This window comes from Homo sapiens, chromosome 6 (genome assembly GCF_000001405.40).
Source record: "Homo sapiens chromosome 6, GRCh38.p14 Primary Assembly".
Taxonomy (NCBI): Eukaryota; Metazoa; Chordata; class Mammalia; order Primates; family Hominidae; genus Homo; species Homo sapiens.
The window spans coordinates 7355596-7382445 of NC_000006.12; the positions used below are offsets into that span (position 1 = coordinate 7355596).

The 26850-nt window shown below is 40.0% G+C and overlaps 1 protein-coding gene across 3 annotated transcripts in view, besides 1 other annotated feature; it reads right to left on the bottom strand.

Moving 5' to 3' along the window:
* Nucleotides 1-26850, bottom strand: part of CAGE1 (cancer antigen 1) — a 63084-nt gene that overhangs the window by 28937 nt on the left and 7297 nt on the right. The window contains exons 4-10 of one of the 3 annotated variants that reach the window (NM_001170692.2): nt 23022-23425; nt 17478-18536; nt 14324-14470; nt 13093-13203; nt 10209-10289; nt 9873-9980; nt 430-534 (exon numbers count right to left, since the gene is read on the bottom strand). In NM_001170692.2, coding sequence (NP_001164163.1) covers nt 430-534; nt 9873-9980; nt 10209-10289; nt 13093-13203; nt 14324-14470; nt 17478-18536; nt 23022-23425 — 2015 coding nt within the window. The remainder of the gene's footprint in view (nt 1-429; nt 535-9872; nt 9981-10208; nt 10290-13092; nt 13204-14323; nt 14471-17477; nt 18537-23021; nt 23426-26850) is intronic. The other 2 variants (NM_001170693.2, NM_205864.3) reach the window with 2 other exon arrangements.
* Nucleotides 18267-18467: a silencer, noted in NCBI's record as "peak5644 fragment used in MPRA reporter construct". NCBI's record gives its function as "represses an SCP1 promoter by STARR-seq MPRAs in K562 erythroleukemia cells {active_cell/tissue: K562}" and the evidence as "EXISTENCE:reporter gene assay evidence [ECO:0000049][PMID:32103011]".

Below are 26850 nucleotides of genomic sequence, written 5' to 3' on the forward strand. Positions count from 1 at the left end.
AAGTAAAAGGGATCAATATAAATGTGCTACATCATCCCACAGACCCTTTTTAGCTCTAAAATTCTATTAATATTTGGCATAGTTTTTAAAAGGCACAAATATTTCTGTAAGGCAGTTTGTACCAGGCCGGGAACAGTGTCTCAGGTCTGCAATCCCAGGATTTTGGGAGGCCGAGGCAGAAGGATTGCTTGAGACCAGGAGGTTGAGACCAGCCTATGCAACATAGCGAGACCATGTCTCTACAAAAATTTTTAAAAATTAGCCAGGAATGGTGGCACATGCCTATAATCCCAGCTACTCATGAGACTGAGGCAAGGAGGCTTGCTTGAGCCCAGGGGATTGAGGCTGTAGTTAGCACTGCACTGTACTTCGGCCTGGGTGACAGAGTGAGATCTTGTCTCAAAATACAAAAGAAAAAAAAATGTCTACCTTCTTTATTAAGTTGCCTAAATGTCTTTGATACTTGTCATTTTCTTCAATGAGTCTGTTGCAGTGGTTTTCTTTTGACTCTAGGAGATGTCCCAGTTTTGTGATCTATGGAGAAATATCAGTAAACATACTAATCTGGAACCTGCCAGGAAAGCTATATATGGATGCCAAGAACAAATGAGAAAACTGAGCAATACTTTATTCCAATATTCTTCTAAACCGAGCTGTACCGTAGGTGAAGCATGAGAGGCTATGAACCAGATAATGGTTGGACTGCACTTAGAACAGATAAACAAAAATTATAATGGGGTTTTACCTTTCCTCTTTATACTATAAAACAGCATTACAAATAACAGAACACCTATTGGTACATACAAATATTTATCAGCCCCAAATCTTCCTTATCGTCTTTCCATATATAGCCAATGGGTAGACATATTTGACTCTATATGAAGTAAAGCACTGATTTTTCAGATTTGAGAAATACTCTCCCTTGCATAATTTTCAGGTTTGAGAAATACTCTCCCTTGCATAAATGACTGCAAGTTTTTAAAAAGGTTCAGCTTAATGTATTTCATTTTCTGACCTATGGTCCAATTTTTATTTGCAAGAAAGCCATTAAAAATGAAAAATTATGTGACATCTGAAATTAATTATCAGGAAATGGTATTCACAATTTCCCCTAGCAGTTACCTTAATTTTCAAAGCAATTATAGAAGAAAAACTATAAACATGAAATAACAATGTTAAATGACTTTTAATCATCTAATGTTTTATTATTTATTTATTTATTTGAGATGGAGTCTCTGTCGCCAAGGTTGGAGCACAGTGGCACGATCTCAGCTCACTGCAACCTCTACCTCCCAGGTTCAAGCAATTCTCCTGCCTCAGCCTCCTGAGTAGATGGGATTACAGGTGTGCGCCACCACGCCCAGCTAATTTTTGTATTTTTAGTCGAGATGGGGTTTCACCATGTTGGCCAGGCTGGTCTTGAACTCCTGAGCTCAGGTGATCCGCCCCCCGTCGGCCTCCCAAAGTGCTGAGATTACAGGTGTGAGCCACCGCGCCCAGCCTAATGTTTCAAATATACTTACATGTCTGTAGTGAAGAACCCTAGAGGAATCAATAACAGAGCAAATTTGCAGCAGAAATAGCAACTTTCTTTCTCTTATATGAATAAATTAATGAGGACAATATCAAATCAGTGGTCCCACTTCTCTAACAACATATATTATTTAAGGTACTTAATCTAGTTGTTATTACCTCAATTTAACAGTTGGAACAAAAGTGAAGAGAATTTAAAAGACTTTTGAAGTAGAAAATGTTAGGCTCTTTTCATCCCATCTCCTCACTACATCCTGGAGGGGGGTTCCACTCTGCTTCATGACACTTGACTGAAGCAATGTGGAATTCCTTCTCAATTTCTCTTTTTCATTATAGATTTCATGGCACACTTTGAATTCTTTAATAGCTTTCAAGATCAAAATAACAACCCTTTTAAGTCTGCAGATGGATTTTTTTTTAATTTGCTAACCTCAGATTAAATAAAGAATAGCAAAAGCTTCCTTACAGAATAATATTTATTTTAAAGGTAAAGGAATTGCTCTGCAGAAGCCGGGTTTTTAGATTATCATGAAAAGAAATACAACATTTTGAGTTTCTGCTAACGTACAAATTTTAACTGCTTTAAGGGTATAAGTGACACACGATTAATAACACATATTTAAAGTGTATGGTTTGGTAAATTTTTGTTGTTGTTGTTTGTTTTTATATTTGTTTTTGTTTTTGAGATGGAGTATCGCTTTGTCACCCAGGCTGGAGTGCAGTGGTGCAATCTCTGCTCACTGCAACCTCTGCCTCCAGGGTTCAAGTGATTCTCCTGCCTCAGCCTCCCTAGTAGCAGGGACTACAGGTGTATGCCACCACACCTGGCTAGTTTTCATAGTTTTAGTAGAGACGGGGTTTCACCATGTTGGCCAGACTGCGGTTAGGTAAGTTTTGAGATATATATATATATATATATATATATATATATATATATATATATGCCTCCAAAACCATCACCAGCATCAAGATAATGAGTCTGCCCGTCAACCTCCACAACCAAAGTTTCTTCTTGCCACTCAGCAATCCCTCCCTCCTGCCCATCTGCCTTCCTTGACCTCCACACTCTCTGCCAGTCCCAGGCAAACACTGATCCACTTTCTGTCATCATAGATTACTTTGTATATTCTAGAATGTTATATAATGGAACCAAACAGTATTTACTCTTTTTTTGTCTAGTTCTTTTCACATGGTATAATTATTTTGAGGTTCTTCTATGTTGCATGTGTTTCAGTAGTTCATCCCTTTTTTATGACTGAGGAGTATTTTCATTGAATGAATATATACAATGTATTTACCCATTCACCTGTAGACAGACATTTGGGTTGCTTTCTGATTTGGGCTATTTATTATAAATAAAGCTACAAAGACCTCATACATATTTGTATGAACATATGCTTTCATTTCTCTTGGGTAAACATCTAGGAGTAGGCCAGGCACAGTGTCTCATGCCTGTAATCCCAGTGCTTTGGGAGACGGAGGCGGGAGGATTGCTTGAGCTCAGGAGTTTGAGGCTGGCTTAGGCAACATAGCAAGACTCCAGCTCTACAAAAAAAATTTTTTTTAATTAGCTAGGGCTGGTGATGTGCACCTGTAGTCCCAGATATTCTGGAGGCTGAGGTGGGAGGCCACAGTGAGCCAAGATTGCACCACTACACTTCAGCCTGGGTGACACAGCAAGTGATACCCTGTAAACAATAACCAAAAAAAACTAGGAGTAGAATAATGGTAGGTGTGTGTTTAACTTTTAAAGCCATCGCCAAAATGTTTTCCAAAATGGTTGTACAATTTTACATCCCAACCAGCAGCGAATGAGAGTTGCATTTGCTCCACATTCTCTCCAAGCCTTAGTATAGTCAGTCTTTTTAATTTTAGACATTCTAAAACGGGTGAGTGGTATTCTCTGTGGTTTTAATTTGCATCTTTTTTTTTTTTGAAACGGAGTTTCGCTCTTGTTGCCCAGGCTGGAGTGCAATGGCACAATCTTGGCTCACTGCAACCTCCTCCTCCCAGGTTCAAGTGATTCTCCTGCCTTGGCCTCCCAAGTAGCTGGGATTACAGGCATGTGCCACCATGCCCGGCTAATTTTGTATTTTTTAGTAGAGATGGGATTTCACCATGTTGGTCAGGCTGGTCTCAAACTCCTGACCTGAGGTGATCCACCCACCTCGGCCTCCCAAAGTGCTGGGATTACAGGTGTGAGCCACCTTGCCTGGCCTAATTTGTATCTTAAAGATGTTAAGTATCTTTGCCACCTCTTCAGCACCTCCTTTCCTGAGTGGCCTGCCCATGTGTACTGCAGCACAGAGCACAGACACAGACCCACAGAAGTTGTGATGGGCCTCACTGACTGCCTTGAAGATGTAGGCTCTAAGGGCAGGGGTGAGTTAGGCAGAGGCTGAACACACATGTTGGGTCATGTTCACAGCAACAGACATTTGACATAGCAGAGGAGGAAGTCCTTTTGGAGAGCTGCTCCCCGGGCAGTGTGGACTACAGCCAGTGAGAGGCAGAGAAGCCAAGATGAGGTTCACTCAGTCCAGGTGGCACTGCTCAGTCATGAGCCCTCCAAAGATATCCTGGGTTTGGTCCTCTCTGTATCCCAAATTTGTGGACACAGTTCCAAGTTAATAATATATTAACTTGCTTCAATATATTATGAGGCACTGAAATCCAAATCACTAAAAAACTGAGGTCACACATCTTGTATTCACTTTCTGTCGCTGCTGCAACAAATTACCACAAACTTAGTGGCTTCACACAACACAAAGTGATTATCTTATAGTTCTGTAGGTGGGAAGTCTGGCACAGGTCTCACTGGGCTAAAGTCAAAGTGTCAACAGGGCTGCGCTCCTTTCTGGAGGCCTTAGGGGAGACTTTCCAGCTTCTAAAGGCTGCCCACATCTTTGGCTTAGGTCCCCTCTCTTCATCTTCAGAGCCAGCAAGTGTCGTAGCTTTGAATATTCTTTAGTAGTCAAATCTCCCTCTGACATGTCTGGGAAAGGTCCTCTACTTTTAAGAACTCATGATTATTGGACCCACCCTGACAATCCAGGATAATGTACCCCTGAATCTCAAGGCCCTTGATTTAATCACATCTGCAAAGTCCATTCTGCCATGTTCTGGGGACTAGGGTGTGGGAATCTTTGGGGGTGCCATTATCCTGCTACCACACACCTGTTATGAGGGTTACTGAGGCCCTCTATGATTTGAGGTGCCAGGCCAGGTGGCCTGGCCATAAGGTGAAGCCAGGGTATTTAGCTCTATCTAGGTCGTAATTCAAGGTTTCCTAAGAGGCTTTTACTTGCATTAACACACTTTCCTCATATAGGGTTGTCTTACACTCTGATAGTGTCAACTTAGAGGGAAAGTATGTCAAGGTAGACATAACATTCACCATGAACAGTGGATAAATCAGGCATCATTATTAATAGCCTTGCAGATTGAGATATGGGAAGAAGATTGGCTGATTGAGTTTCCAATTCTCTACACAAAGGTTTTGAGGTTGTGTACATACAATACAATATAAACCTGGCTGGGAGAGATGGCTCACAGCTGTAATCCCAACACTTTGGGAGGCCAAGGCGGGTGAATCACCTGAGGTCAGGAGTTCAAGACCAGCCTGTCTAACATGGTGAAACCCCGTCTCTACTAAAAAATACCAAAAAATTAGCCAGGTGGGGTAGTGCACGCCTGTATTCTCAGCTACTTGGGAGGCTGAGGCAGGAGAATCACTTGAACCCGGGAGGTGGAGGTTGCAGTGAGCCGAGATCACGCCAGTGCACTCCAGCCTGGGTGACAGAGCACGACTCTGTCTCAAAAAACAAACAAACAAATACAATATCAATCAGAAACTAAACATTAAGCCAGAATATATAGAGCAGGTGAGGAACAACAGGCAGATATGAAGATAGCTAAGACCTACACTCCAGTGTCATATTTGCTAATAAACTTCTTCGTAGCTAGAACGAAATGGAAATCTGGTCAGTTACATAAATAATGACAAATCTGGTTGTCATTATTCATGTGATGAAAATATACCTGCTTCTAAAAGAGGAACTTGTCCTAGTGGGCCTGAGATCTCTAAGGAAGTTCTCATCCAAGTGAAACAACCATGTCTCTGTAGCAAATTAGAAGGATGTTTCCTAGGATTGTTGAGAGTCTAACACCAAAGCACAACTCAGTAAAAGCAATTCTGCAAGGGCCAAGAAAGTATGTTCCAAGCAGCAGCTTTCACATCATGAACATGATTCAGGTTATGACTCTTTATTAAGTGGTAAAATGAATTTATAACCAACATAAAAAATGAAATGGAATAGAACAGAACAGAATTTTAAAACCCAATGTTTTAGCTGTGTGTGTGTGTGCATATAAGTATTCCATCAAGATGTAAAATGTATTTTTTCTAAACTGAGGATTACTACTAGAGGAACAAAAGAACTGCAAAGATAATCCTTCAGAGATACAAGAGCTCTTAAGCTCTTGCTAAGAGCTGGTCAGGAAACAGATTGGTGTGATATCCTTTAGCAAGGATCTGTAGTGCAAATATTGTTTCCCACCCTTGCTTTAGAATGGAAATTAGGAAAATCAGAACTAGGAAGGTGAGGGATAGAGTCAGAGTATCAGAAGGACTACTGTAAAATGCCAGGATGCTTGAGAGAACAAGAAAACAGCTGGTAAGGTTGACATCTATGTAAACTAAGAATGTAAGATTCCATCTGGCTGGACAGCCCTCCCACCTGTGTGACCCAAGTTTTAGTGATGATCCTAGTCTCTTCCTTAGGAGGCTGGTCAGTGGCAGAGAGGCCGGCAAACTATAAAGTATACTCAAGGTAACACCGTGCCAAATCCAGATACAGGTGGGTCCCTTTGGTCATTCAAGTGGACCACAAGATACTGGGCTTTGATTGTTTTCTTTTGGCTCACTTGGAAAATTTTTCCTAAAGCAGTAATTTTCTACTTTGCCTGTTCCTTTCTTATTCTTGTGACTTCTTTACAATTTAACAAGCTGTTAATTTTAAAGGCTACCAAAATAATAAGTTAGGTAAATGTTTTACGTAATATATGATTGCCATATTGAAGTGGTATGTTTTAGGACAGATTTTGATTTTTAAATTTTAACTACTCCATAATACTGGTTAGAGATATCTTATTTGTATTAAAAGTTATCTATTTTACTGAAGATGGGATCTAGGAGGAACTTACTATGAGCCTCTTTGAACTCTGAACATCAGTACCATTAAGTGGACTTTTGCCTTGTTCCCAGTGGTCAAATCCCTGACTGTATCAGTGTCTTCCTGGACCAGGAGACATTTTGCACTTGACAGTTAAACACCCAGGATGCTTGAGCCAGCAGGAAGGCAAAGCTGAAGTCAAGGACCCTGTCTCAGGATGGAGGAGGCCAGGCTGTGAATGGAGCAGATGGCAGGGTCAGAACTGTGAAGAGGAGCCAACGGCAAGGGGTCAGAAGGACATGAGAGAAGCACGCGACGATGTGCCAAGGGAAGCATGAGCATCACCCTGCACTCCAGCGGCCACACCTTGCTGGCCCAGAGTTCCTTAGAGAATGAGGTGTGAATCTTCTGGAGTACATTCTGCACTACCAAAAAATAAAAACAAAATCCTTTTTATCTTGAAAATTTTCATGCAAGTCTAAAGAATAACATAATGAACCTCCATGTTTCCATCCCATAACTTCAACAATTATCAACATTTTCCATTACTGTTTTATCTTTCTCCAACCCTGCCCCTACACCTACTATGCCACCTTTTTGTTCTCCTGGAGTACTTTAAAGCAAACCTTGCCATCATATTAATTCACTCATAAATACTTTTCAAAATGTAATACTAACAGGCTGGGCATGGTGGCTCACACCTGTAATCCCAGTACTTCCCAGAGACTTTGAGAGGCAGGTGGATCGCCTGAGCTCAGGAGTTCGTGACTAGCCTGGCCAACATGGAAAAACCCTGTCTCTACTAAAAATACAAAAAATTAGCTGGGTGTGGTGGTGGGTGCTTGTAATCCCAGCTACTTAGGAGGCTGAGGCAGGAGAATCGCTTGAACCCTGGGGGCGGAGGTTGCAGTGAGCCAAGATCGTGCCACTGCACTTCAGCCTGGCGACACAGCAAGGATCCGTCTCTAAAAACAAACAAACAAATGTAATACTAACAGATAAGGGCTTTTAAAAACAAAATGGTACCACTATCACATCTATTAAAATCAACAATAAAATTTCTTAATATTATCTAATATGCTGAATTCAATTTTCTATTATCTCACAAATGTCTTTTTATAGTGGTTGGTTGAGTTTCATACACTGCCTCTGGCTGATTTGTCCTCTAAGTCTCTAGCCTCTCTTAGTCTATAACAGTTATTCCCTCTCCTTCCCTTCTCTCATGCCAATTATTTATTTATTAGAGTTCTCCACATTCAGGATTTGTCATTATGGTGTGATCAAGTACATTTCTTTACCCACTGTAGTTCCTGTCTGCTGGTAGTTAGGTCTAGAAGCTAGCTTTTGGATTCAGCAGTTTTGGTAAGAAGCCTTGTGGAGGGTGTTGTGTGCTTCCTCTGCACCATGTCAAGGGGCAGGGGTCTGCCTGTCTCACCGTTAGTGGGGTTGAGATTTATCGGTGTGTTCAAGTATTGGTCAATATGACTCATTCATTAAAAACTCCTTATTAATCTTGAACCTACAGGTTTTAGCAGCCATTATGATAACTGCTTACATTCCTTAATTTATTCAGGAGTGCAAAATATAATTTTCTAAACTTATCTTTTCTTCAGCTTTTAATAGCTTACATTCTTCAATAAAGAACTCTCCCTCATCAATTATTTGGATACTCTGAGATAGGGTTTGTACATCAAAGCCTATAGTGCATTTTAAAGGTGTGTCTGACACTCTGCCATTTGTGACCTTGTTCCCATTCCAGCTCCCACTGCTGGGAACACTACTGTTTACTCTCATCATCTTTGTATCACCAGGGCCTGAAGCATAGGTACTGCTAATGGACAACAGAATGTATTGAGTGCTGTCCTCTTAGCTCCCTATGCCCAAATTTTACTGGTCTTTAAGACCCAACTGCCATCTCCTTCATAACCTGCACTTAGAAATAATCTCTTCCAGTCCTCGGACAAGTATCCACTCTGTTAGATGCCAGCCATTGTACCTCTTCTCTAAAAACTTTCCCTTTCCTTCTGATAAACAGTTATTTATGTATCTTATCTTCTTTTCTAGATTCCTTAGTACCAGGGTTTATGTTTTGTTTCGCTTTCTAGCTCCTTAGTGATTAGCTTATTTAATCTTTTCTGGGAAGTCAATAATAATTACTGGTTTTTTGTTTGTTTGTTTGTTTTTGAGACAGAGTCTTACTCTGTCACTCAGGCTGGAGTGTAGTAGCGTGATCTCAGCTCACTGCAACCTCCGCCCTCTGAGTTCAAGCGATTCTCCTGCCTCAGCCTCCCAAGTAGCTGGGATTACAGGTGCCTGCCACCGCGCCCGGCTAATTTTTTGTATTTTTAGTAGAGACGGGGTTTCACCATCTTGGCCAGGGTGGTCTTGAACTCCTGATCTCATGATCCACCCGCCTCAGCCTCCCAAAGTGCTTGGATTACAGGCATGAGCCACCGCGCCTGGTCAATAATTACTTCTTATGAAAAAAAAATTACAAAAGAGGAAAGCTTTGAACCTTCACGTTATTAGACACTTTTCTATTAAAAGTGAATTGTATGTAATGAATTTAGTATAGAATGCTGCTTTTTAATCATTTAAAAAATATGATGGTAGACTTAGCTAATTAACTCCTATAAAAATTCATTATGTTAATTAGTCGTTTTCATTTTAGTGAGATCCAACTGAATTCCTAAATTGCTCTATAAGTATCTAGATTCTAAGATCACATTTTCATTTTCTTCTAACATATTTTTCCTATTTTATCTGCCTTTATCTTTACAATACCATCTAAAGTACATTATGAGTGTTATTGCCTGAAGCATACCTTAACCATGGCTGTTGTACACAGCTATTACTGCAGCATATGCAACAGTATTAGTGTACTTCATCTACTGTGAAAAAACAGCACTTTTAAAATTTCTGCATTTGGAAGGAAACAAATCTGATTAATCTTAACAGAAACGAGGTAGGACAATATTTAAAATTTCAAAACCCCAAAATGCAAACTTCGATTCTATATTATTGTGGGTAAATAATAATGCCATGATGCCAGTGTGTGACCCTTTTTATAAGCCAGTTTTTTGAAGGATGATAACTTCTTAAACTTGCTAGTAAAATAATGTTGTGTATAAAAATAATAGCAAGGTAAAAAAAGGTCTTTCTTACCAAGAAATCAAGCTCCTCATTTAGACTGTGGTACTTATCCAGTTTGGCTCCCAGAAGGGTAGGTACATCTCTGATACTCTTGGCTTCATCTGAATCACAGTCTATGACCTGAGATTAAATATATTTGTTCTCACTTTCAATCATTTCATACTCCTTGGAATACCTGACAATAAATACTTTATTAGTTTAAAAATCAAAGAGATTATCAGTGGCTGGAATAATAAAAGTGCAGAACTTAGAACTAGAAGTACTTCAACAAATTTACCAAAAGAACATAAATACCTGAAATTGTATATTTTTATGTTAAAGATAGTACGTAGTAAATATTAAGCTCACCTTAATAGCATGATCTTGAAATGCTTTTTCCTTAGCAATTAACTCTCTAAAGGTTGTGATTCTATCTTTATGTTTCAGTAGCTAAGAAAAGGAAAACATTCTGTATTTTAGAGAGAAAATACAACTACGCTCTAATATTTATAATAAAATAATCAAACCGGGCCGGGCGTAGTGGCTCATGCCTATAATCCCAGCACTTTGGGATGCTGAGGCGGGTGGATCACCTCAGGTCAGGAGTTCAAGACCAGCCTGATTAATATGGTGAAACCCTGTCTCTCCTAAAAATACCAAAATTATCCGGGCATGGTGGCTGGCACCTGTAATCCCAGCCACTCAGGAGACTCAGGCAGGAGAATTGCTTGAACCTGGGAGGCGGAGGTTGCAGTGAGCCGAGATGGCGCCATTGCACTCCAGCCTGGGCGACAGAGCAAGACTCTGTCTCAAAAAAAAAAAAAAAAAAATCAAACCATGCAGTCTAACAGTCTTCAAAAAACATACAAAAAATATGTTTTTATAGCTCTTGTGAGGAAAAGAATTCACACAGCAGGTCCAAGACTGCTAGGCTTAGAGAGGCCTGCTGGCAAGGCTGCCCCATGACTGGCATTTGGAAAGTTGGACTGCAGAAAGTTTTCCACCATTCTCTGATGTAAATGGCTTATGGTGCTCAACCTACTTGCCCAAAGCATGGGCATCTACTTTCCTTCCAGGGGTCTGGAATTTTGGTACGCACTAGGCAGAGGGTGCTTATGTGAACAGCTCCTGATAAAAACCTGGGGCACTGGGTCTCTAAGAAGCCTCGCTGGTAGATGACACTTCCACACCTGTGGTTGCAACTCATTGCTGGGGGAACGAAATGCATCCTGTGTGACTCCATGAGGACTCTTGGAAGCCTGAGTTTTGCTTTCTCTAGACGATGCCCCTGTGCCTTTCCCTCGGCTGATTTTGCATTGTATCCTTTGCTGTGGTAAGTCATAGCTGTGAGGACGACTCACAGTCCTTCAGCTAATCATCAAACCTGGGGGTGGTCTCGGGGTCTCCAAGGAGTTATCCTAACATAACGATTGTTATTACAGTCAGGCTATTAAAATTTTTCCTTAAAGAAAAAAATTAGCCAAATCTGGGCGTAATTTATAATCATTTCTTATTTATTCCTTCAGTATAATAATAATCTTAATATCCAATATTCAAACTGATTAGTGAAGTGTGGTGTGCAAAATATTTTTTATTCTTTATTGCAAACATTTTCCAATATTTAAAATAGAAAAAACTTTAATGAACACCACGTAACTATCATTCAGCTTCAATAATTAACAGCTAATGGTCAATGTCATTATATCCTCAATCACTGCCCTCTTCCCTCCATCCCCCTTCACTGAATCAAACTGCAGACATCATATCACCTGTCAATACTTCAGTAATTACACAGAAAAAATTAACCAAAAGAACATAAATATCTGAAAGAAATATTTGGGGGATTTTTTTTTTTTTTTTGCTTTTTGTTGTTATTGTTTGTTTGTTTTGAGACAGTGTTTTGAGACTTGCCTCACCACAGCTTCGACCTTTCTGGGCTCAGGTGATCCTCGCACCTCAGCCTCCGGAATAGCTAGGACACAGGTGTGTGCCACCACGCCTGGCTAATTTTTGTATTTTTTGTAGAGACGGAGTTTCCCCATGTTTCCCAGGCTGGTCTCAAACTCCTGGGCTCAGGCCATCCGCCTCCCTCAGCCTCCCAAAATGCTGGGATTACAGGCATGAGCAACTGTGCCCAGCCTGAAATTGTATTTTTGTAACAACCTCAGTTGGGCTTATTTTTGAAAGCTGTTTAGAGGAGTAGAGGCCAGCCGTTTCTCTGCATGACTGTGCTCATACTTTGGTCCTGTCCTCTACAGGCTGGCTAGGAGGCAGAGAGATTCTTCAGGATACCCGCAACACGTCAGTTCAGATAAGTGTTACAGAATGAATTTGTTATGATCCAAGATTCCAGGTTTGAATACGTTTTGATTCCTTTAGCCAGATAAAATTTTCATGTCTGCATTCCTCTCAGATTCAAAATGGTACAATTTGACATCCTGTTATCACCTTCCTTATTTAATTCTCTTCATTTTATCCTTCAATCTGTATACTACCACACCTAGAAAAGAGTACTTGAGGCCGGGTGCAGTGGCTCACGCCCGTAATCCCAACACTTTAGGAGGCCAAGGCAGGTGGATCACCTGAGGTCAGGAGTTCAATGGCTGCATTTCATTAAATTCGGCCTGGTCAACATGGTGAAGCCCCGTCTCTACTAAAAATACAAAAAATTAGCTGGACGTGGCAGCACACGCCTGTAATCCCAGCTACTTGGGAGGCTGAGGCAGAAGAATCACTTGAACCTGGGAGGCGGAGGCTGCAGTGAGCCAAGATCATGCCACTGCACTCCAGCCTGAGCAACAGAGCAAGACTCTGTCTCAAAAAAAAAAAAAAAAAAAAAATTAAAGAAAAGAGTAACTAAAGACAATCCAAGAACCTCTGCCCTCACCCTTCAGCCACCTGAGAAATAAAATTATTTTCAATGTTTCTGTTATTCCAAAGGATGAAGTTTGAAATCACTATAGGAAAGTCAAAATAAACAACCCTTCAGGAATCAGTAGTGCCGTGCAAAAATGAAAAAATTTATCATACTAAATTTTTTGTAGGTGAATGAGATTTTCCCATACAGACAAACAATAAAACAAGTCAAATGTTGAACATTTTATCTCTTTAGTGAGGGGCACAGTAAAACTAATCTGGTCCCCCAAAATAATTTTTAAAATGATTCCAACTTTAAGAGTTACTTCTTCACTACCTTTTAACTATTTTTTCACTAAAAATAATAAAATTTTTAGAAGAAGAATAAATATAATACCTCTTTATCTAAAGTTTTCTTTTTAAGATGGAGGCTCTTCAGTTTTTGCAGCATTATATCACTAACCTTCTCACTCTCTTTGAAATGTTCAGCATCAGAATTGATGATGTCCTAAGGGTAAGAGTTTCAGAAGCTAGATGAAAAAGTTTTTACTAAAGCTAAAATGAGGCCAAAACTATGCATATGAAACAAAAACAAATCTCCTTTCAATAAGTAAGCCAATCAAAAGAGGTAAAATCATATTGAACTCCATTCCTCAATTACTTATCAGAAGGCATCCAATAAAGGGTTAGTACAGAAAGATTTCATTTTTTTTATTTTAATTTTTTTTTTTTTTTTGAGATAGAGTTTTGCTCTTTCACCTAGGCTGGAGTGCAGTGGCGCGATCTCTGCTCACTGCAACCTCTCCCCCCAGGTTCAAGCTATTCTCCTGCCTCAGCCTCCCAAGTAGATGGGATTATAGGCACCCGCCACCATGCCCAGCTAATTTTTGTATTTTTAGTAGAGATGGGGTTTCACTATGTTGGCCAGGCTGGTCTCGAACTCCTGACCTCAGGTGATCTGCCCGCCTCGGCCTCCCAAATTGCTGGGATTACAGGCGTGAGCCACCGCACCTGGCCGTGCATGTCCCTTAATTGTTTTTTTCATTAAATGCAGTGCTTATAAGCTCCCAGGACAGAAGCATCATTTCCCCATCTTAAAGATAAGGAAACTGAAATGGAAGTTAGGTTACTTGGTCAAGTTACACAGCTAGGAAATGATAAGCCAGCATCTGAACTCATCTGACAGCAACTTCACTTTTCATTCTACTAATGTACACAACTCTACACTGCCCTTCCCCGACTCCTAACCAAACGTGGTATTTTAGATTGGGCAAACAGCTCATTAATGTGAACAGTCATTAATCACTAGGCGCAGACTGACCAGAGCACAAGACTACTGATCTGGGAGGGCATCGCTGAAACGTGGGAAGTACTTAATAAAGGGTTCTTTTTATCTTATTACATCTTATCTATCTCTACGCTTGTGAGCATTAGGTGTTCAAGAAAGATAAGCAGAAAGAAGACATGGGGCGAAGAAGGGTTGGATGGATGGCTTAGGGGTCTGTATTTTATCTTCAATTCTTCATTTTCTTCTTCCACAACTTAATTCCTTTTATTGCCTCTCTTTTTGTCCAACCCCAGTATTTATTCCTCCCCTACTAAAATATCTAATATATATGTTTTATTACCTGGCATGTGAGAAGTCCCACCATCAGAGCCAGAAGACTGTGCATTTTGGAGGCCAGCTGAGAAGCTCTTTTTATATCTGCAGGATTCAGCCTCTCTTCACAAGGTGAGCAATCCGGGAGCAGATTAGAATGTGTCGTTTTTGTATCCTACATGCACGTAATTCAGATTTGTCAAAATAATGATGAAGAACCTGAAATATCTTTTAAGTAAAATGCTGAATAAAATGGCACTCTTAAAAACCTTGGGCGACAGTTCTCAAACTTTTTCATCTTAGGATCCCTTTAGAAATTAAAACTGAGAATATTTTTAAATATTTGTTTACTAATTCTTTTAAAGTAGCAATAACTCCATTATGTAGAAGCATAAATAACAATTTATTTATTTATTTATTTTTGAGCCAGGGTCTCACTGTCACACAGGCTGGAGTGCAGTAGTGTGAACATGGCTCACTGCAGCCTCAAATGCCTAGGCTCACACAATCCTCCCACCTCAGTCTCCCCAGTAGCTGAAACCACAGGTGCATGCCACCACACTCGGCTAATTTTTCAAATTTTTTGTAGAGATGGGGGGTCTCACCATGTTGCCCAGGCTGGTCTTGAACTACTGGGCTCAAGCAATGTTCTTGCCTTAGCCTCCCAAGTGCTGGGATTGCAAGTGTGAACCACTGTGCCAAACCAATAACAATTTTTTAAAAAAACAATTACCACATTTTTTGAAACAAAAAATTTGTGAAAAGAATGGCACTGCTTTGCATTTTTTGCAAATATTTTTAATGCTGGCTTAATTGAAGATAGCTGGATTCTCATATTTGCTTCACACATTCCATCAGCCATGAGAGCAATTACATCATCACACATCATGTAGCTTCTGGAAAACTCCACTGTACACTTGTGAAAAATGAGAGTAAAAAGGGCAATAATGTCTTAATATTACTATAAAAATACTTTTGACTTCACAGATACTCCCAGACCATATTTGGAGTAAACAGAACTAGAGTTCATGAAAAGCAAAACTATAAGCAGAGTAAGTATGAATTCAGTGTTAGAGAAATTGATTAATCAAAATAAAATAAGGAACTTAAAGAAAATTATATACTATGCTAAATTTCTGTACAATTAAACTAATTCATTCAGAGCTTACCAATTTAAAATTCATCATGATTTGCTTAGGAGCTCAAGTTAAGGTGGCTTAGGTCCGTGGTTCTCAAAGTGTGGTCCCAGGAGCAGCAGCATCAACAACTGGGATCTTGCTAGAAATGCACGTTCTCAGGCCCCACCCCAGAATTACTGAATCAGAAACTCTAGGGTAGGGCCAGCAATCTGTGCTTTAACAAGCGTTTTAGGGAATTTTGAAGAATGTTCAAGTTTGAAAACCACTGGCTTAGATAATCCTTTTTTCTTAGATCTTAGATTTTTTTTTTAATTTAGGAAAAGAATATTTTCCTAAGAATCCTTAAAAACAGTAAAATCATTCACTTGTAAAGAATACTTAAAATGATTACAGATTCATAAAAGAGGGTCCACTAAGGACATCTTAAGGTAACATCAGCTCAGTTCAAGTTATTAAAACAAATATAAACATAGCCAGGTGCGGTGGCTCACGCTTGTAATCCCAACACTTTGGGAGGCCGAGGAGGGTGGATCACCTGAGATTGGGAGTTCAAGACCAGGCTGGCCAACATGGTGAAACACTGTCTCTACTAAAAATACAAAAAAATTAGCTGGGCATGGTGGTGTGTGCCTATATAATCCCAGCTACTTGGGAGGCTGAGGCAGGAGAATTGCTTGAACCCGGGAGGCAGAGGTTGCAGTGAGAGGAGATCACACCACTGCACTCCAGCCTGGGCGACAGAGCGAGACTCTGTCTTAATAGATAAATAAATAAAACAAATACAAAAAATAAACTTACACATTTTTCTAGTTCATATTAGCCTTCTTTCTAAGTAATCATTTAATAAGATTTTACTATACATACTTTAAGGCAGGCCTACACAACTGAAATAGATGTGCTCTGTCTTGTGAAAATTATCACTTCCAGAATGTGTTTCCAGGTTCTTCGCTGCCAAAAAAGCCTTTTGAACTACATATAATAAAAGATTACAGCTTCTCCAAACATATTGTTATGGTTCTGATGCTGTTCTTAAATGTATAAAACTAGTATATGATACAGGTTTGTTTTGCCTTGTAAACCAAACATGCAATTATATTATTTTGTTTTGTTGAATAGGATTGAGAGACAACTTAGAAAATCTTTTCTCAAAGGAACCCTGGGGTTGGGCGCAGTGTCTCACACCTGTAATTCCAGCACTTTGGGAGGCTGAGGCAGGTGGATCACTTGAGGTCATGAATTCGAGACCAGCCTGGCCAACACGGTGAAACCCCATCTCTACTAAAAATACAAAATTAGCTGGGCATGGTGGCGCACGCCTGTAATCCCAGTTACTCCGGAGGCTGAGGCAAGATAATCACTTAAACCTGGGAGGCAGAGGTTGCAGTGAGCCAAGATCGTGTCACTGCACTCCAGCCTGGGCGACAGAGCAATACTGTCTCAAAAAAAAAAAAAAAAAGTAACTGCTGGAAGATGCTTTTGATGACTGGCAATGAGTACCCACAAAATTCCCACGTTAATGGCCACCTCTACCAAAAGAACCACAAGAAGGCAGGAATAGCTGTTCTTTGAATATTCATGAACCAAAAGAAACTTCTCCAAACCTGTGGTGTATTTTCCTTTCCATATCTGTTTTTCTTTTTTCTTTTTTTCTTTTTTTGAGACAGAATCTTGCTCTGTCACCCAAGCTGGAGTGCACTGGCACAATCATAGCTCACTGCAGCTTCAAACTCCTGAGCTCAAGTAATTCCCCCATCTCAACCTCCCGAATAGATAGGACTATAGGCGCACACCACCATGCATGACAGATTGGCTGCTTTAAAAAATGTTTTGTAGAGATGGGGTCTCACTATGTTGCCTAGGCTGGTGTCAAACTCCTAGCCTCAAGAGATCCTCCTGCCTCAGCCTCCCAAAGTGCCGAGATCTGTTTCTTTCTTTAATAATTCTTTCTGCAAACAAATATAAGTGCCACGTCTAAATACGCATCACTAGACCACTAGAAACTCTTGAAATTCCGCATTAGAGATTTAGAATGTGTATCAATACCTTGGTAATATCTGACTTCAAGACTTCCTCTAATTGATCCTTTAACTGAGCTGTCTCAAATTTAGGGACATAATTTTGCTCTTCACTCCTTGCAACCTGCTGTTTAAGTTTTGCATTCTCATTTTTTACTTCGTTGATTTGCTGCTGAAGTTTTATATTCTTCGTTCTTTCATTTTCAGACATAAATTGCAAATTTCTAACTTGAGTGAGCAATTTCTCAAGTCTAGATTTCAGTTTCTGTCTTTCTTCCAGGTTTTCCTTTTCAAGTTTCTGGAATTCCTCCTGTAAAGACAAGAACTCTTGTTCTTGGGCCTCTTTTTCCCGTTTCAACAAGTCCAAAGCAGAAGCTGTGGCCTTTTCCAGTTCTTTTTTGAGTTGTTGTAGTCTCTCTACCTCTTCTTCTTTCTTGCTTAAGGTTTTGTCCATCTCTAAATACTGACTTACAGATTTATTTTTTTGTTGCATTTCAGTCATGTACCTTTCCTGTAAACACACATAATTAGCCTTGATCTTCTTAAATTGAAGCTGTAACATTTCCTTGTCATTCCTGGATTCCTGAAGATGTTTTTGCGTGTTAGCTAAAACCTCTTCCAAATTCTGCAATGTCTTTTTAGTATCATTCTTCTCTAGGATTATTTTGTATTTGTCTTCAATTAATTCTTCAACATTCTCCTTTAGCTTATTGATGACATCAATGAACACTTGCTGTTTGGTAATCTTCATCTGTAGTTCTTTAACCCTCTTCTCTAAATACAGGTTACTACACTGGAGTTCTTGGATTCGCACTTCCTGCTTTCTGTTAGTATGTTTTAATTTCTGCAAGACTTCATTTAAAGCCATGTCCTCTTGAACAGGTTGTAAGCTTTCAGCACTTTGCTCCCAGTCAGGCATCTCACAGTTCTCCCGACATGCTTCACTCCTCCAGGAAATGCCTGCCGAAGACCAAGTTGAGACAATTTCTGGCCTCTCCACACCCTCTGCTGTGACTTCCTTTTCATAACTGACTGACATCTCAGGAATCTCCCCATAATTCTGTATTTCTTTTGAAGGAACTGCAGTCTGTAAATTATAGTAAACAAAGTAAGTGTGAACGAGTAGAAAGATAATGAGCTTTCAAGTCAAATAGGGCTGGCCTTGAATTCTATTAGTAGATCCCCTGTTTGGCTTTCTCCGCTATAAAGTAACAATAGTATCTACTTCCAATAATAATGCCTATTAACAAAAGTTAATACCTATGTATTAATTGCTAAATGTTTGTACAGCACCTAACAGCACAGCAGGGCACAGGCAGTAGGTATATGACAGATATACATCCCATTTACTTTGACAAAAGGAAAATTAAACTTTCATCCTCTTACCATTTTCTATTATGCAAACTTCTCTGAACACATATAAGATGCTTTGACTTCAAATAAATTCAGACAAATAAATGTATCAATTACCTTACAGACTGCAAGTTCTCTCTCTTTTTTTTTTTACATGTTATTACTGGGCCAAAAGTTTGGATTTTTAGGGGGGAAAGTTCTCTTCTCTTTTGAATATTTTTTATTCCACATTTAGACCATTATCTCATTATTCTGTGACTCTCAGGAACATTAGAATGGCAGAAGAACATGCCTCATGATTGACTTTATGCTGCCGATAGAGGTCTCGAGGAGGTTATAAAAAGACAGTAGGCCGGGCGAGGTAGCTCACGCCTGTAATCCCAGCACTTTGGGAGACTGAGGTGGGTGGATCACCTGAGGTCAGGAGTTTGAGACCGGCCTGGCCAACATGATAAAACCCCATCTCTGCCCAAAATACAAAAATTAGCCAGGCATGGTAGCACATGCTTATAATCCCAGCTACTTGGGAAGCTGAGTGAGGCAGCAGAATCACTTGAACGCAGGAGGTGGAAGTTGCAGTGAGCTGAGATCACACTACTGCACTCCAGCCTGGGCGATAGAGCGAGACTCTGTCTCAAAAAATAATAATAATAAAATAAACAAATAAAAATAAAAAAAGACAGTAATTTGTGGTAAGAAATGGTGAAATGAATATGACATTAAAAACCCAGGGCCGGGTGCAGTGGCTCATGCTTGTAATCCCAGTACTTCAGGAGGCTGAGGCGGGTGGATCATGAGGTCAGGAGATCAAGACCATCCTGGCCAACATGGTGAAACCCCATCTCTACTAAAAATACAAAAATTAGCTGCGCGTGGCGGTGTGCACCTGTAGTCCCAGCTACTCGGGAGGCTGAGGTAGGAGAATTGCTTGAACCCTGGAGGTGGAGGCTACAGTGAGCCGAGATCACGCCACTGCACTCCAGCCTGGGCGACAGAGCGAGACTCTGTCTCAAAAAAACAAAAAACAAACAAACAAAAAAAACAAAAACAAAACCCAGGCCAGGCACAGTGGCTCATACCTGTAATCCCAACACTTTGGGAGCCCAAGGTGAGAGGATTCCTTGAGACCAGGAGTTGGAGACCAGTTTGGGTAACACAGTGATACCCTATCTCTTCAAAAAAAATATTTTAAAAATCAGTCAGGTGTGGTGGCATGTGCCTGTAGTCCTAGCTCCTTGGGAAGCTGAGGCAGGAGGATTTCTTGTGGGCCATGATCACACTGCTCTCCAATCTGAGTAACAGAGCAAGACACCTTGTATCTAAAATAAATAAATAAGTAAAAACCCAGTAAAAGGTATCTGTAGTGGTGTGCTGTATAATTCTCTGGAATTTAGAGACAAGGACTTCTGTATTTTGTTTTTTGAGCTCATCCTTCTGCAGAACCTTGTATCTTAATGGTTTTTCATTGTTCTGGGATAAAGATAACTATCATTACTGAGACCTACAAGGCCCTAATATCTTGCTCTTGATATCTGCTGTGCTTTAAATGCATCCCCTAAAGTTAACGTGCCGGAAGCTTGATCCCCAATCCCCAGTGCAACAGTGTTGGAAGACGGGGCCTAGTAAGAGGTGAATAAAAATGACTAAATGTTGTTATCACAGGAGTGTGTTAGTTATCACAAGTGGATTTGTTACAAAAGTGAGTTTGGGGGCTGGGAGTGGTGGCTCACACCTGTAATCCCAGCACTTTGGGAAGCCGAGGCAGGTGGATCGCAACGTCAGGAGATTGAGACCATCCTGGCTAACACTGTGAAACCCTGTCTCTACTAAAAATACAAAAAATTAGCTGGGCGTGGTGGCACACACCTGTAATCCCAGCTACTGGGAAGGGTGAAGCAGGAGAATTGCTTGAACCCGGGAGGCGGAGGTTGCAGTGAGCCAAGATGGTGCCACTGCACTGCAGCCTGGGCGACAGAGCGAGACTCCATCTCAAAATAAATAAATAAATAAATAAATAAATAAATAAATAAATAAATAAAATAAAAGTTAGTTTGGCCTCCACTTGCTCCCTCGATCTCACCTTCTTTTGCCCCTCCACCTCCCACCATGAAATGACAGCACAGAGACCCTCGAGTGATGCTGGCACCATGGACCTAGCCTCCAGAACCGTGAGCCAGATAAATTGTTATTCATTATAAATTGCCCAGTCTGTGATATAGTTGCAGCAAGATGAAATGAACTAAAGCAGTATCTGACCCACACCACCTCTCTGTCTTCATCTGCTGTACCCCTCCTCCTTCCTCCAACTCTGATCTTCCTGGACTCAGGGCTTCCTTCAGGTCCTAGTAGGTACCATGCTTCCTGTGGCCACAGGGTTTGCAGACGTTCTTCCTTCTGTATGGAAGGCTCTCCTACCCATGGCTGCCTAATTAACTTCTACCCATCCTTTAGAGCTCAGCTCAATGATCATTTCTTCAGGGATGCCTTCCCCAGACTCCCTGATCAGGGTAGTGTCCTTATCATAGATGCCCAACCTACTTACATATGCAGCACTTATCATAGTTGCAAGTTTATCTGTAACTTGATATAGCATCATAGCATAAATAGTAACTTTATATAACATGCTCTACATATACTTTATATGTAACTTTATTCACCTTATTGATCTTATTATAGTTGCAAGTTCACATTTATTTGTGTGATTGATTAATGACTACCTCCTCTAGTAGGATGCTGTCTTCATGAGGACAAGAACTACATCTTTTTGTCTATTTTCTAACCATCACCTAATGTGTAGTACAGACCTGCCATGTAATAGATGCCTAAAAGTATCTATTGACTGAATGAAAAATGGCTAAATGCAATGAAAAGAGGAAAGAACAATCTTGCGAAACCCTATTTAAGCTGATTTTTAAAAGGTTGTTTTCCAGAAATCAACTTGGACAAATAAAGTCCTTTTAAATGCTGTCATCTACTTTCAAAAAAATGAAAATGCTCATACTTGTAAATAAGACATTATAGTCATAGTGTTTCCCATCAAACTCACATTGGAAAGGTATTATTGGCCAGGTGTGGTAGCTCACACCTGTAATCCCAGCACTTTGGGAGGCCAAGGCGGGTGGATCGGCAGTTCAAGACCAGCCTGGCCAACATGGTGAAAACCCGTCTCTACTAAAAATACAAAAAAAAATTAGCCAGGTGTGGTGGCACACGCTTATAATCCTAGCTACTCAGAAGGCTGCAGCAGGACAATCGCTTGAATCCAGGAAGCAGGGGTTGCGGTGAGCCAAGATCATGCCACTGCACTCCAGCCTGGGCAACAGAGTGAGACTCCGTATCAAAAACAAAACAAAACAACAAAAAAAGAGAAAAGGTATTACTTATACTATTCTTGAATTTTATCTATTTTCCCATACCAATTCCTAGTATTTTTAATTTTTTTGTTCAGAAAGTACACAGAATATATACTGTCGGTATCTTCAGTGCTCTTAGGATACTACATGTGTGCTCGGAATCAATAAACCAAATGATAAACTAATATTTTCACTTTAGTAGAAAAAGTAGTATTTTTTGCTTGTCAGTAGAATTCCAATATGACAGAGAAATCTTGTTTTTCTTGAAAAATGAATTAGTGCCTCTGCACTCCTTCCTCTTCTTGACCTTTCCATCAGTGTAAACTCTGCTACTTCCAGCCATTTTGATTCAACAAATATAAAAGCTTATTATATTCAGACTGCTCTGTCTACACAGTAGCCATTCTTTTGTTTCTTTACTTCTCTAATAAACTTGTTTGTGGTGAAAAAAAATTATGGTAAAAAAAGCTTATTATATTCAAGGAAACATATAGACGCTGTGGTGCATAAGAGGGTGAGTAAGACAGTCCTGATCCTTAGAGAAATTACCATTTGGTAGAGCTAATCCTCAAGTATGGACTTGATTTTACTAGAAAAATTTATTTCTGAATTGGCTAAGATCTCAGAATGCATTTTCCCCAGAGAAGCAAAGTCCCTCATGCTAACTAGGTGATTTAACACTACTTGGAAAAGTCTCAGATTATATATATATATATACAATTTTTAAAATGCATCCTTTAATACTCCACAGGCTTTACTGACCATCACAATCGTACCTCCTCTGCTTTATAATTAACTCTCAGATGAACTAGGTTAGAACTATTCTCTTTATCAAATGGTTTTACAATATTATTGTGTACACTTTCCTTACATAAGAAGCTTGGAGGTTGGCTAGGGTTGAGGGCAGATTCCTTGGCAATACTTTTAGCCAGTGACTTTTCTGTAAATTTCAGCATCTCTCCACTGCAGTGGATTAGAGGCGGGCTTCTAGGAGGAGGCTGTCTAAAATACTCGTTACCAAGTTGGTCTGTATTTGCAGAAACACTAGTTTCCATTGGATTTTCTTCCTTAAATGAGTCTTGCTTTATATTGTTGTCTTTTGCATAATTATACACTTGACTTTGAAATTCTGGCTTCTCTGTCATTTCATCATCAAATGCTTCTACCCAGTGAAATTTGCAAACGGTTTCAAATTGTCTCAAGGAAGATATGCTGATGGTGTCAACTGGCTGAATTAGTGCATTCGTTGAGTAATTTTCAATGTTGTTATCTCATAAGAAAGAGAAAGAAGGAAATAAAAACGAGTAGACCATGAACTTGGATGGTAACAGTTATATTTATATTTATCAAATAAACTGCTGTAGCCACTTAAAAATTATATATTATTTCAACCTTATTTACTGTGTGAATTTTAGCATGGTTTTGTGCTAGCAAACAAAACAAAACTTTTTACATGGGGGAAAGAAGTCCCCAAATGACTGCTAGGAAAAAGTGTGTTATATGTAATTCTGGTCAAATAAAATTACAATAAATTTCAAGAGATCTTCAAAATTCTTTTGTTGTACTGTAATTTTAAGATGTTTTAAATTATACAATGTTTCAAAAGGACAAGGATAGTATAATAGAAAACACATATAAACTTGCTTAATCTCACAAAAATCCCATGATGTCAGTACTGTTATTATCCCTATTTTACAGATAAGGAAACTGAAGTGTAAGAGATGTTAAAGTCACTTGTCCAAAGTCACAGAGCTGCTAAGCAGTGCTGCTGAGATTCTAGACTACTACTTCTAAATGCTATGCTATACTATTTTTCAATATGACAAATTATGCAGATGTAATGTTTTTTAAAATCAGGAGCAAATAAGAAAACAGAATGTTACAAATTATTGATCCCTTTTATCTAACTTTCCTCCTCCCCAGAGATAACCAGTGTACTGAAGCCCATATGTATTCATTCTTCCCATTCCCATTTTACTTTTACTACTGATTTATGTATCCTAAATAATAAAATCAACATAATCTTGCCAAAGAATAAAGTTCCCAGATTTCCTCATTTTGTGACACCCTTAATGTCTCAGTACTTTTTTTCACAGTACCTCTGGACCAAAAGGAATACTTAAGTTCCATTTAGTAAATAATTAAGTTCAAACTAGTATTTGTCCTAAGTTATTAGCTGTTTGAAAATACACATAAACTAAAAGAAAAATATAATATTTTATTCTTAAACAACCACACTTTACTACTTGGATGTACACTGTTAGGCACCGTACAGCACCTCAAATCGTGGAATCAGATTGGAGACCACCACTCTCACTTCCTATTCCACAATGATTTTCATACGGGACTTGCTTTTTATTATAGCAACCTCCAAAAACCTACCTTTACAAATAAGACATCATAGGAAGGACTATAGTATGGGTTTATAGTGAAAACTACAGCTAACAGATTGTGGGGGTCTGATAGATGTCCAGTGTCACTGTTTCCCTCAAACTCCAAAATACCCTGCAACACTTTAGGTGAGTGATTAATATATAGTATTGTTTTATGTGCTTTTATATTTTACATAAATAGCATCTCACTCTATCTATAGCCATATAAAAGTCTTGGACGCAGTGGTTTACGCCTGTAATCCTAGCACTTTGGGAGGCTGAGGTGGGTGGATCACCTGAGGTCAGGAATTCGAGACCAGCCTGGTCAACATGGTGAAACCCCGTATCTACTAAAAATACAAAACTTAGTGGGGCGTGGTGGTGCACATCTGTAATCCCAGCTACTCAGGAGGCTCAGGCAGGAGAACCACTTGAACCTGGGAGGCGGAGGTTGCAGTGAGCCGAGATCATGCCACTGCACTCCAGCGTGGGTGACAGTGCAAGACTCCATCTCAAAAAAAAAAAAAAGTCTTTATTTCACACAAAATTTTGCTTCTGAGGCTTAGCCACATATATACATATATATGTAGTTCATTCTACTGAAAGATTACACTTTATTCCTTTTTTGTTGGCTATTTAAGTTGCTTCTAATTTTGCCCTTAAAAACAGCACTGCAGTGAACATGTTTCCTTCTATGCCAATGTAAAAACTTTTGGCTAGGTTCTGGGGATACACCTAGAAGTGAAATTGCTGGATTATAGAAAATACATATCTTCAACTTTACTAGATATTGCAAAATTACTCTCCAAAGTGTACCAATTTATGCTTCTACCAGTAGCCTCTGGGTTCCTTTGCTCTACACATCTCTCCAAAACATGTCAAATTCATATGCATGAAATGGTATTTTACTGTGACCTTCTTAATGTACATCCTTTCATGTATTTAATGGTCTTACAGGTTTCTTTTTCTGTGATCTTCTTGTTGTATACTGTTATGGGCTCAATTGTGTGCCCCCAAAATTCATATGCTGAAGCTCTAACCCCTAGTACCTTAAAACATGACTCTTATTTGCAGACAGGGCCTTTAAAAAAGTAATTGAGCTTAAAAGAGGTCACAAGGGTAGGCCCTAATCCAGTATGACTGGTGTCCTTATAAGAGGAGGAAGAGACAGCAGCAAGGCATACACAAAGACAAAAGGCCATGTGAGACACTGCAAGAAGCTGGCCATCTGCAAGCCAGGGAGGGAGGCTTCAGTAGAAAGCAACCGTGCTGGCACCTTGATCTTGGACTGCCAGCCTCTAAGAATGAGAAAATCAATTTCTGTTGTTTACACTACCCAGTTTGTGGTGTTTTGTTATGGCAGCCCCAGTAAACTACTAATACATATACTTTGCCTGTTTTTCTATTACGTGCCTTTTTTTTTTTTTTGAGACAGAGTCTCTGTCACCCAGGCAGGAGTGCTGTGGCACGATCTCGGCTCATTGCAACCTCCACCTCCTGGGTTCAAGCAATTCTCATGCCTCAGCCTCCCAAGTAGCTGGGAATACAAGCGTGCACCACCATGCCCGCCTAATTTTTGTATTTTTAGTAGAGATGGGATTCCACCATGTTGGCCAGGCTGGTCTTGAAATCCTGACCTCATGTGATCTGCCCACCTCAGCCTCCCAAAGTGCTGGGATTACAAGTGTGAGCCACTGTGCCCGGCCTGAATTATGTGCCTTTTTCTTTTTTTTTTTGAGACAGAGTCTCACTCTGTCCCCAGGCTGGAGTGCAGTGGCGCGATCTCGGCTCGCTGCAAGCTCTGCCTCCTGGGTTCACGCCATTCTCCTTTCTCAGCCTCCCAAGTAGCTGGGACTACAGGCGCCCACCATCACACCCAGCTAATTTTTGTATTTTTGGTAGAGACGGGGTTTCACCGTGTTAGCCAGGATTGCCTCAATCTCCTGATCTCGTGATCCGCCCATCTTGGCCTTCCAAAGTGCTGGGATTACAGGCGTGAGCCACCGTGCCCAGCCATTATGTGCCTTTTTCTAAGTGACTTGTAGTTCTTTATTTTAGATACCAAATCTTTGTCAATTATACATATTGCATGTATCTTCACTCCATGCTTTTTACTTTATTATACTTTGGCCATACAGACGTTTTCTTAATGTAGTCAATGCATCGATTATGGATTGCATTTCTCCTGTCTTTTTTTTGAGACAGAGTCTCACTCTGTCACCCACGCTGGAGTCAGTGGCACGATCTCGGCTCACTGCAACCTTCGCCTCCCGGATTCAAGTGATTCTCCTGCGTCAGCCTCCTGAGTAGCTGGGACTACAGG